General features: G+C 50.5%; 1 protein-coding gene across 1 annotated transcript in view; it reads right to left on the bottom strand.

Annotated features, from left to right (window-relative positions):
- SLC6A17 (solute carrier family 6 member 17) overlaps positions 1-11987 on the bottom strand; it is a 51709-nt gene that overhangs the window by 6160 nt on the left and 33562 nt on the right. Inside the window, exons 7-10 of the mRNA NM_001010898.4 lie at positions 3830-4071; positions 3345-3537; positions 1272-1464; positions 298-457 (exon numbers count right to left, since the gene is read on the bottom strand). Of these exons, the coding sequence (NP_001010898.1) occupies positions 298-457; positions 1272-1464; positions 3345-3537; positions 3830-4071 (788 nt within the window). The remainder of the gene's footprint in view (positions 1-297; positions 458-1271; positions 1465-3344; positions 3538-3829; positions 4072-11987) is intronic.

Raw genomic sequence — 11987 nt, 5'->3', positions numbered from 1 at the left:
GCCCTTCACAAAAACTTAACAGAGTTCTGAAGAGTTGGTACCCAGGAAAGGTGCTGTGGTAATTTAAGGATGATGCCAGGACCTGCACCCAGGACACCCAGTCCTCAGACTGGCTCTGTTTCTCCCTGGACAAGTGGCCTTAGGCAGCCATGTCCTTGCACTACACCTCAGTTTCCCTAAATGATCCGTAAGGGCACTTTCAGCTCTGCCATTGTGACTCTATGATCTGCCTCTCCAGGGAGTCATGATAGGACAGACCCCTCCTCCCATCCCACCTTTCCCCCATGTTCCTCTTACTTCTTGGTTCCATAAATCCAGGCCACAGCGATGTTCTCAAGGATGACGATGAGAGTGAGTGGCAGGGTGGCCGAGTAGTCATCGAACATGGTGACAAAGTAGTTTCCGGAGCGCTGGACGAACAACAGCCCCACGAGGAATGCAAAGACACAGCAGCCCACTACAGAGAGCCGGGAGGCCGGTTTGGGGGCAAAGGTGCAGGGTGGGCAGGGCCCTGGGGGTCTCGGGGGCACCCAGGCCCCTCCCATCACATCCCTCCCCAAAGCATGCCTGCAGCCCTCCTGCCAGCAGGCTCAGTCCTGCACGAGGGATCCAGATGCTCAGGTTCTGAGCCCCGCTCTACTAGTCGGGGAGCACCTGAGGAAGGCGTTGTGTCTAACTTTCATCCCATGCCTCTGCCCCAGCACAGGGCCTGGCCCGTGGCAGGTGCGCTACTTAATTGCTGTATTTAACTTAAATGATTCATCTGATTGTTACCAGTCTTTTTCTCCACCTCAGTTTCCCCACTTGAGAACAGAAAGATACCCCGCTTTAGGGATGCAGATGAGAGGTATCCCTCTATGGGCCCTAGATCAACGCAGCAAACCCCGAAGGGAACTGTGGACACAGCCCGGGACTGGAGTGACAAAGATGGAACAGGGCGCAAGGCCAGTGAGTGCCCCTGCCCAAGACGACTCAGCACCCACTTCCCAAGACGACTCAGCAGGCCCTTGGGGAGAGGGGCAAGTGAACTAACAAAGGGGCCTAGATGCAGGCCTCCCGGCTCATGTTTGCTCCAGATTTCCAAGTAGCTTTCTCTTCCTGGCTTGTGAGTGCTAATCACTGAGTGGCACAGCCAGGCTCCAGCTGTGTCCCAGTGTGGGGTGGAGCCTTCTGGGTGTGGGGTCATGAAGGACCCAGTCAGAAGCCAGAACGGAATTGTTGTCCACAAGGGCAGCCTGCAGAGCCTGGGCATGGGGGCAGGGAGGAGTTACCTGTGAACATCTCCTTGGGCACCTTGAAGGTGTCGATGATGGGCGTGGTGATGCCTGCCATGGTCCCGATCATGCTGCCCAGGCCCAGGTTGATAAGCATCAAGAAGAACATGACGGACCAGAACGGGGAGGCGGGGAAGTGCGTCATGGCCTCAGTGAAGGCGATGAAGGCCAGGCCTGTGCCCTGCACGGACTGAAGGTGGGGTGGAAAGCAGGGCCTGTGAGGTCACCCCTCCCTGGGGAGCCCACTGCTTCCTTCCCTCTGCCCTTCAAACTTTTGGAATAACTATTCCCTCTTTCACAGGGGTTCCCACCTCCACCTAAATCCTGTTGATTTTGGCCAGTGGGTCTCGAACTTTAGCAGGCATTGGAATCCCCTAGACGTAGCTCAAAAACACCAACTTGGGAGTTCACCTGTGGGACCTGGAATCTACGGGTTGTACCAGGAGCTTAGGTGATTCAAGTGAAGATGCTCATGTTTAGAAATACACCCAGCTCAGGACCCTGCTCCTCTAAGATGTCTTTCCTGATTGCTCCAGCCACACTGTGGCCGCTCCCAGCTCAGAACTTCTGAACTGCAGATCTTCATGCAGTGGTCTCAGCCTCGGCTCTCAATGGAAGCACACCGGAGCCTTTAGAAACACCGACACCTGGGTCTCACCCCACGGACAATGACTGGATTGGTCTGGGGTGAAGCTGGGTGTCAGAGTTTTTTTTTAAAACAAACAAAAATACCCCAGGAACTCTAATGGGTAGCCAAGGTAGAGAATCACTGCTTTAATGCTTGGGCCATGCTTGTGGGTCAGGTGACCACACACTGCCCCCTGTCACTTACACGTTGCCCTGTAATGTTCAGTGATTGTAAGGGAACATTTCTTCCCCACTAAGTGAGTGTATAATCTTGTCATTTGAATGCTATCGGAGTTGTATTGTATGAAAACACTGCTATAAACCTAGTTTAATTCAGAGAACCAGGCCATGCCCATGAGAACTGAGCAGGGTTTCAGAGAATGTGAAAAGGGGAGGTCCTTTATGCTGCCAGTTACCTGGGGAAGAAACCAGGGCAGTGGGCCCGAGATTGGGCTCTTTTGCTCTTGATCCGCAGGGAAAGGGTTGGGGTGTAGGATGCAGCTCCCTCAGCATTAGGATGGTACCATCCAATGGAGCTGACTTTTAACATAGAGCCCAGGGAAAGCACCCCCTTCCCCAGTCCCATGAAGGACAGGGTTGACCCAGGCTGATGGGAGCTGGCTCCGCCCCATGTGAGCCTTGGCTCCAGCCTGGTTCCCAAGATGCTGTGGGTATGTCCCTTTCCTGTTACCCCTTCTAACAGAACAGTCATTTTGAAAGTGTCCAGCTATGTAAGTATAAATAGAAGCAAGGTGTCCTAACATGGGCCTGAGCACTGAGGAGGAGTCAGCACCCCCAGCACCACCCTAAAGTCTAAGAGTCATCATGGCAGTGAGATTGGAATGGGGACAGGTTGGGGAGGGGCAGAAGCATCAAGAGGTGATCCTGAGCATGGGCTCTGGACCCAACTAACTGGATTTGGACCCAACTAACTGCCTCTCTGACTTACTAGTTATGAGACCTTGATCAAGCCCCCCATCTCATAGGCTACTCATCTGTAAGGTAGGGAACAATATGAATACTCAACTCATAGAGCTGTCTTGAGCGTCAAAAGAGATAGACAGCAACGGGCAAACACTAACTTCAACACTTCTTTGATGCACACCATGTCAAGGCACTGTTCTGAGTATATTACCTGTGGCAGTGACTGATGCACGAGAAGCCCACTCAGTAAATGGAAACATCGTCCCATACACTTACTGTGACTTCTGAGAGGTGTGTGTCTGCCCTACTTCTTGTCTAGGCTCAAGCCTACCTCTGGGCAGGGACTTTGGCCAATACCTTTCTTCCCTTTCACTCCCTCTGGACACACAGCAGATCCTTGCTTACCAAGTAAACTAATGACTACCTGTCAGCATCCTGAGGCCTGAGCCCAAGCTCCCGCCGGCCACAGCTGCTCTCTGGGTTCCTGCCTGTCCTGGGAAGGGCAGCCTGTCCCCGCACCTTGTCCAGCTCGTCCTCCAGAAGGCAGGGGTCAAGGCCCAGGGCTGAGAACTGGTCCTCCTTCACGGTCATGATGACATTGTACATCTCCATGTAGTCCTTTGTGGTCAGGTGGGAGAAGTTGACGTGGGGTGGGATGAGGTCCCGGCTCAGGACGTTGGTGTTAAGGTACCCTAGGATTTTCTCAGCATTCCTGCAGCACAAAACCGAGAGGACCAGGTAAGAAGGCAGGGGTGGGCAATGGGTGAGATCCTGGAGGCTCTTCCCAGGCACCCAGGTGGGAACCTCATGGGTCACTGACAGAGGCATCTCTGAGCTTGTCCCTGTGGCCCGGAGCTGGGGACAGAGAGTGCTCCTCTGATCTCCATTCCTCAGTCTGAGTGGAGGGGACCTCTCTCCCCATGCACACCTGCGCCCCCACCCCTGCCCACTCCCAGGTAAGGTAGACAGGGAGAAGGAGGGACAGGAGGAGAGATGCCACCTACTCGACCACACACTTCTCATTCATGATGTTGGCCTTGAAGCCCAGCACAGCAAACACCACGAGGGTGGCCAACACTGACGTGAAGAAGTTGATGAAGGACACCAGGGCGGCATCGAAGTGGCAGTTGTTGTCCTGCTTATTGTAGCTGGAGAAGGCAATGACACCACCAAAGCCCAGGCCCAAGGCAAAGAAGACCTGGGTAGCTGCCTCCCGCCACACCTGGGGGTCCAGCATCTTGTCCAGCTATGGCAGAAGACCAAGGCAGGAGGAAGAAAAGAGACACAGAGGGGATGGTTTTATTCATGTGCACACCCCCTTTCTCAGCCTCAACAGAGTTCAGAGGCAGCAGCCCATAGTGGTAAGAAGCTGTGTGAACTTGGGCAATTTCCCTACTCCTCTGAGCCTCAGTTTCCCCAATACGCAGATCACAAGAGTATCAACTTCAGAGGATGACTGTGAGGACTTGGTAAGACAACATAAATGCTGAGTGCTTACATAGTAATTTAACTGCTACCATGGCTTCCCATGCAGCCATCATACTAAGGAACATCGTCAAGGCCATCACATATGGTCATGTAGTACACAGCTCTAGAGAGTGCCATTCACTTGGACTACAGTGTGACAGGTGCCTCCTAGAGTCCTGCAGTGAACAGCTTGCACAGCAGCACAAGAAAACTGAGAATACCAGAATCTCCCTGACGCCTTCTCCACCTCAAACTCCTCTACCTCATGAAAGGAAAAAAAACCCAAACCGCCTGCTTTTCCCCACCATCACCCAACCTGAAGCACAGAACCTAGACAATTCCTGGAGAAAGGGCCTCCGCCTAAGCTTCCATCTGCCCTCACACCTGACAGGAGCCCGAACTGCAACAGCATTGGGATGGCATGGAGCAATTTCCAAAGCCCCTTTCCAACCTATTTTCCTTTTATTGTTTGTTCCTTGGGGCAGGGACCAAGCCTTGGACCCAGCACAGAGCTTTAGAGTCTCAGACAGATCCAGATCCAAATCCTGACTCCCATCTTTAAATGGCTATGAAGCTTTTGGTAAGTGGCACTGACTGTGTTATGAGCTTCAGATTACTCATCTGAAGAAAAGGGAATAGTAATAGAGTCTCGGAGTGAACGTGAGGATCAAATGTATAGCAACAAGTAATGCCTGTACGTAGTGGCACTCAATCCCAACAGAATGAGGCTGACCTCGTCAGGACAGGGTGTTTTGTGTTTTGCGGGGGTGCAGGAAGCAAGGATTACTATTCATGTTTTTAAAGGGTAAACTGAGACCCCAAAGATGAAATGACTTGCTCAAGGTAATGGAGCTGGTTAGTCGGGGCAGAGTGATAACTAAAATATAGATATTCTGGGCCAGGCCCCCGCCCCCGGCCCCAGCACCAACTCCTGACTCAGTTTTTCTATCACCTATACTCTTTAAAGCATTTTCCCCTGTGACCTTTGCTGCTGAGGTGAACCTAAGTGACCTCACTCCAGACAGACTAAGGAGGCAAGGAGCCAATTCAGAGAGTTCACTTCCCTGTGGTGACAAGCCCTGTGTGGGTCCTGGCCCGGCTGCCCCTTCTGAGTACCTGTGGGTAAGTCCTCACCTGAACAGTGAGGTGTTGGACTCTAGGGTCCGTCTGGACTTTAGCTGTCTTTAATATCACAGCCCTAAATAACATCCAGGACACAGGGCCCACCTGCCATCATCTCAGCAGCTTCCTAGGCATGTCTCAACTCCTGGCAGCACTCCAACAGCTGAGATGTTGGCAAGCTCAGAGCGCTGGCAGAGCAGTGAGGCTGAGGGCGGCACCCCCATGCTGAGGGGAAAGAGGTGGGGGATGGTAGTCGAGCCTTTGAGCTTCAGGGCCTGGGCACAAATGGAGACCCAGGAGGACTGCCTGGTCAGACAGCATGTGTACTCCAGGGGAGATTAAGGTCCCCCATCCAGCACAAAATAAGTAAAACCATCTTTAGTCCACCAAGAAAGCCCAGAACCCAGGCCTTAAGGATCTAAGGGCCCCTTGGCATCTATGAGGAGACCCTCTCCCCAGCCCACCCCTGTGTACTTATTAGGTATAAGGTGTCAAGGCCTCCCTGTGGCAATGACATGTAGCCACTCATCCATCAATCTCTGAGCACCTGCTGTGGGCCAGGCCTGGTGCTAGGCGATGCAGAGGCCATGGGGAATAGAAGCAATCAGGCTCTCCAAGTTTACATTCTAGTTGGAGAGAGACACATTGGTCAAATGATCCCACGAACAAATGCTAAATTGCAAATGTGACAAGGGCTGTGAAGGCTGGGCACCCAGTGCTTGGAGAGCCCATAAGAAGGGGATCTGAACAAGTTGGGAGGCCAGGCAAGGCTTCCCAGAAGAAGGGGTCCTCAAGCTGACATTTGAAAGCTGATGAAAGCGAGGCCACAAGGGGAGGGAAGAACATTCGGGAAGAAGCATGGACAGAGGTCCTGAGATAGGACAGAGGATGGTGTGTAAAAGGGAATGGAAGGTGCCAGGGTGGCTGAAGCAGTGAGGACGAGGTGGGGGTGGCACAGGTAGGGCTGGGAGAGGAGAGAAGTTAGATCAAAGGCCTGTACAGATCCTGTCTTCACCCTAAGAAAGCACCTAACCCAAGAAGCCACCGAGGGGTTTAAAGAAGTGGGGACACAATCATGTGCATTTCCAAAAGAAATAAGTGGATTCAGCAGACCTTCGAGGAAGCGGCTTCTGGGGTCCAGGCTGGAGGGGACAGTGGCTTTGCTAAGGGGCTGGGTGGTGCCAATGGAGAGATCTTCGCAGGACAAACCAAGGAGACCTTCGGGATGGACTGGAGATGGGAGATGCTGGAGAGGGAGAGGCCGAGGTGAGGGCCATGTCTCTGGCCTGCATACCTGAGCAGGTGGAGATGGGGACAGTGGGAGAGGAACAGGTTGATGGTGTTGGGCAGGGAGGATCAGGACATTAGTTCTACAAAGGTTGAGCTGAATGTGTCTTTAAGACATCTAAAATGAAATGCCAAGTGGTCCGCTGGACAGATGAGCCTGGAGCCAGAGAGAGACAAGCTGGAGATAGACTTTCTGAGTAGCAGGTGTGCTGGCAGGAGCTGAGGCTGTGGCTGTAGTTACAGAGGGATAAGAAGCAAAAGCCTGCTCCTATCTCCAACACTGAATGCAGGGAAGAGGGAGAGTCTCCTGAAAGGGAGTCAGAGAAGGAGAAGCAGCAGAGGCAAGAGGAAAACCCAGAGCCTGGAGGAGGAAGGGTCAGTGCTGCCAGTGAAAGACCCTGAGGGAGTCCACGCAGGAGGCCACAGGGGGCTTCAGAGGCTTCCTCGGAGTTGCTCCCTGGCAAGAAGCCAGGGGAAGTGAAGAAAAGAGAGAGGCAGAGGGGAGGAAATGGAGGCAATGTGGGTAAGCAGGTCCTCGGAGAAGCAAGCCTCGGATCAGGAGAAGGGCAGTATCCGGAGAAGGCTATGAAATCAACAAAGGGTTGCATTTTTATATGTTGTCTTGATTTCTTTTTTGTTTTTGTTTTCAATGGAGTGTCTTGAAAAGCTGGAGGGTAGGGATCGGGATGGGGTGGGAAGCTGTCCTCCATAGGACCACCCTTGGGCTGCTCATTTGAGAGAGGAGGGAGGGAGGACAGGATGGGGCAGCTGCAGGCAGGTTTTATGGTCGGTTTCTGTCTCTGTCATCTGAGGGAGTTTCTTGGCAGCTTCTGTTTTCCCTGTAAAGCAGGAGGCAAAATCATCTGCTGGGGATGAGTATGCCGGAAGGAAGGTCAGAGGGTGTGAAGGATTGGAAGGGTTTAAAATAGCCACAGCGGAGCATGGGAGAGCCAGGTGACCAGAGAAACAGGGCAGGGCTGTCCTGTACTGCTGGGGGCCCACCCCCTTGCATAGGCGGATGTCTGGTTTTTAAAGTAAGATGAAATGTTACCTTCTTTACAAATGTAATACAGGCCCACGGTTCCTTATCTAAAAGCCCTGGGGGCTGACTGGTTTTGGAATACAAGCTTTTGTTTCTAATTTAATTTTAGAAAGGTAATGTGATGCATATGCTACTTAATTACATATCACCCCCAGCAGGGTCTGGGGCAGCACCCTGTAATCAAACACGTTAGTATTTCTGCAGCAAAATATGAATATTCACACCAAGTGAATCAATAAAGACTATAAATAGCCTCACATCTGTGCAGGTCATTTTGCTTCCAAGTGAGTTCTGGAGGATCAAAACCAAACCAAACCAATTTTTGTTTTTCATGGCTATTTGGATTTTGGTATTGTGGATAAGGAAATGGGGGCCTGTACTGTGCCTAGTAGAAATCTGGAGAATAGAAAAGGAGAAGAAAACAATCATAGTTCCACTGGGAAAGGACTTGTGTTAATTCCCATCTCTTGGGTGAGTTTTTGAAAAATAATTTTTCAAGAATGCTCCAGAAATGGGCATAAGGGTGACTTATGCCTGGAAGGCATGCTGGCTGGCCTCCTCTGGTATTCGCAAATGTCAATCACAACAGCCCTACCACAATCTGCTGGAGCCTGGGCGCTTCTCCTAGGCTAGAAACCAGCACCTCATGGGAGGGCTCTGAGCAGTTTGGTGAGTTCTAACTAGGAAGAATTATGAAATTTTCTAAAAGAAGGTATGTTGAGATTATTAAATCAAGTTTAGCCTAAAGCTGCCTCCTTAGATATTTTAAGTTTGGCCTAAAGGTTTCTCTGTACATCATGAACTGTAAGAAGTGGAGGTGTAAACAGACTGTAGCCTACCCTTGTGCCAATCACTGAGTTTTGGCCAATCAAATGTGGTCAACTGCTCGAACCAACTTCAAATAAGGCAAACACCAAGCTGTGACCAATCCAGCTGTTTCTGCACCTCACTTCCATCTTCCGTAAGTCACTTTCCTTTTTCTGTCCATAAATCTTCTTCCATCACATGACTGCACTGGAGTCTCTGAACCTACTCTGGCTCGGAAGGCTGCCCGATTCGCGAATTGTTCTGCCTGATTAGCGAATTGTTCTGCCTGATTAGCGAATTGTTCATTGCTCAATTAAACTTTTACATTTAATCTAGCTGAAGTGGTTTTTTGTTTTTGTTTTTGTTTTTTTTTAACAAGATGAACACAGCTCTGGTCACGTCGCTTGCATGCTGAAAAATATCTGATGGTTCCCCACTGTCTTCTAGAAAATCTTTTTCCATTCCTTTATGTTCTGAACATTCTACATGCAGGTAACTTACTCCTCTTCAAAAGCACACCTCTGGCCTTTGCCTAGGCTGTAATTTTTTCCTGAAATTCCCTTCCTCCTACTCACTTTCTGGTAAACTCCTACAAATTTCTCAAAACCCACCATGAATATCATTTCTTCTTTAAAGTTTTTCCTAATTGCCTCTGGTCCTTGAGCTCTCACAGCTCTTGTCAATACCCACGTCACAGGTTTATGTGTCTCGTCTTCCTTTCAACACTTTGTGCTTAGGGGTGGAGCCCATCTCCTCTCCTGTTTGTATGAACAGTGCTGGCACGTGTGAGAGAAGGAAAGAGTCGGGAGCGAGAGAGAGAGAGAGAGACTAGACAAAAGCTGACCTTTTTCTATGAGTTGTGAGCTGAGCAGGAGGGACCAGACAAGGGGCTACAAAGTTGTACCAGCCTTTTGGGCTAAGATGCTGTCTTCTAGAATAAGAGGACGATCTTAGGACTTCAAACTTCTACTTTCTAAAACATGGCTATTTTAATACTGGCTTCATTTTATTATCCTTTCCTCTTCTCTTTCCTTTTTTTTTTTTTTTGGTAATTATTTCCTTTTTTATCTATGTCAATCATTTTCACAAAAAGGTCCAGACTACCTGTGAGACCCAAATTCATACCATCATTAAGATTTCCATCACACCCTAAACCTAAAAGGTTTAGGATCAATAAAGATGTGAATAAATTCCTCAGCCTAGTCACACTTCAGGGTCAAATTTCATAAATGGAGGCAGCCACTCCTGGGAGGATACCACAATCCCAAACTGCAGATCAGAGCTGGCCCTATATAGCTTGGAGATTTCTTGGAGGATGGAATATTCAACAACTTTGGATAGAAAAAAAATTTGTTTGTTAAGATTGCTCTTTTTCCACTAAAAAATTATGGAATATTTATTATAAAATGTACAAAGGCAGAGAAGATAGTGTAATGAATACCTATCACCCACATACGTATCACCCAGCAAATTGATGGAACCAAATCTGATGTTGATAGGGCCCAGGAAAGCATCTGAGGGTGAACTTGACCTTTGAGGAGAAAAGTGCCTGGTGCAGGTGGTCCCTGGGCACCCTCCCTTCCAGCCTGCAGCTCAGAGGGGTACTCTTGCTGATGGAGATGACCACAGATGCCCAGTGCTAATCTGGGGGTAAATTGAGCCTGGCACCTTCAGTACAGAATGCTTATTGTTCCTTGCATTTAAAGGGGCTCTTTCCAGGATTCCTGGGTGATGGTGCATGATTCTAACAAGCAACAACAGAGGATGAACCCCCGGCCAGATTCAGAAAACCCCACGCCCCTTCCAGGCATCAGGATGTGACTGCAAGAGGAGGATGGGCAATGGGCTTTTCCCTCAGAAAAGGCGGCTCGCCCCCTCCTCGGGGTGTCTGCTCTAAAACAGAGGAACAGCTTCCTGCCAATTCTTCAGCATGATGGCTGAACTACTTCCTCACTCAGGGAAACAAAGTGTATCAAGGCGTTTGACTCGTGGGCATGATGATGCTTTTGAGCCCACAAGCAGCTGCTGAGCCCTAGCCTGAGCGCATGCGTGACAGGAGCACACACCTTGCTTCTCAGCACTGCTGTGCACCTGCTGGTGTGGAGCCAGCCGGGGCCACGAAGCACCAGATGGCACTGGAGCACTGGGCTCCCGCTGCCCAAGAACAGTGTCACCTTCACAAGGGACGAGGATAATAATAGCTAACATTTACCACATGCTCTCCACTTGCCAGGAGCAGTCCTAAGCACTTTCCCGACAACCCCATTGGGGAGGTGCCACTGTCCACCCCATCTTGCCATTGCGGAAACTGAGACCCTCAGGGCAAAGGAACTTGCCCAACAACTGCTGAGTGATGAGGTAGAGTCTGAACCAGATCGTCTGGCTCCAGAGCCCACGCTCTGGTAATGAGGCTGGGCCACCTTCATCATCCTGCTGAGAAGCCCTCTCTCTAACTGTGGGAGTCAAGAAGCTCCACCCCTAACCTCCACCCCTGGGCCTTCAGAACTTGCAGAGAACCCACTTCTCTTCTCTAGGAGTTGATGCACACCCCGATCCCTCAGTCTCCTTTTCCTCATCCCTGTATCCTGTAACACCTGGTTCTTCTTCTCCAGATGTACCCATGATGTCAGTTTCCGGTGTACCCCCCTGTGATATTTTATGCGTATACCAGCAGTATACACACACACATACATTACATACACATATACATACACGCACGTGAATATGTGTGGGTGTGTTCCTCTTTTTCCCTACTGTCCACATCAGAGTGGTCATGGAACTCTCCACACTCCTGGGGCCACTGCCCTTGCTCCCAGCCTCGGCACTTCCTCAACATGCTAAGTTGGGAACCCACAGAGTCCCAGAGCTCCTGGCACACTGCCCCTTCTGCTGTTGCCCACTCATAGCCTCCTCCCTACAGTTATCCACCCTTTCTGTGCTTCAGTTTTCCCATCTGCACAGTGGTGATAATGAGAGTACCGACCTCTCCAGGGTTGTTAGGAGGTTTAAATGGGTTTATATATGCAAAGTGCACACAAAAGTGCCTGCTACAGAATAAGCACTATCCATTGTAAAACACGGGCTTCTGGGCTGCGCGCAGTGGCTCACATCTATAATCCCAGCACTTTGGGAGGCCGAGGTGGGCGGATCACAAGGTCAGGAGATCGAGACCATCCTAGCTAACATGGTGAAACCCCTACTAAAAATACAAAAAATTAGCCGGGCATTGTGGCACATGCCTGTAGTCCCAGCTACTTGGGAGGCTGAGGCAGGAGAATCGTTTGAACCCGGGAGGCGGAGGTTGCAGTGAGCCAAGATCACGCCACTGCACTCTGGCCTGGGCAACAGAGCGAGACTCCGTCAAAAAAAACCAACAAAAACAGAAAAAACAGGCTTGTATAATTGCCTCACTGATCGTCGGAAACAGCGTGCTTTCA

This window comes from Homo sapiens, chromosome 1 (genome assembly GCF_000001405.40).
Source record: "Homo sapiens chromosome 1, GRCh38.p14 Primary Assembly".
In the NCBI taxonomy this organism is placed as follows: Eukaryota; Metazoa; Chordata; class Mammalia; order Primates; family Hominidae; genus Homo; species Homo sapiens.
This window is presented reverse-complemented; position numbering and strand designations above follow the sequence as displayed.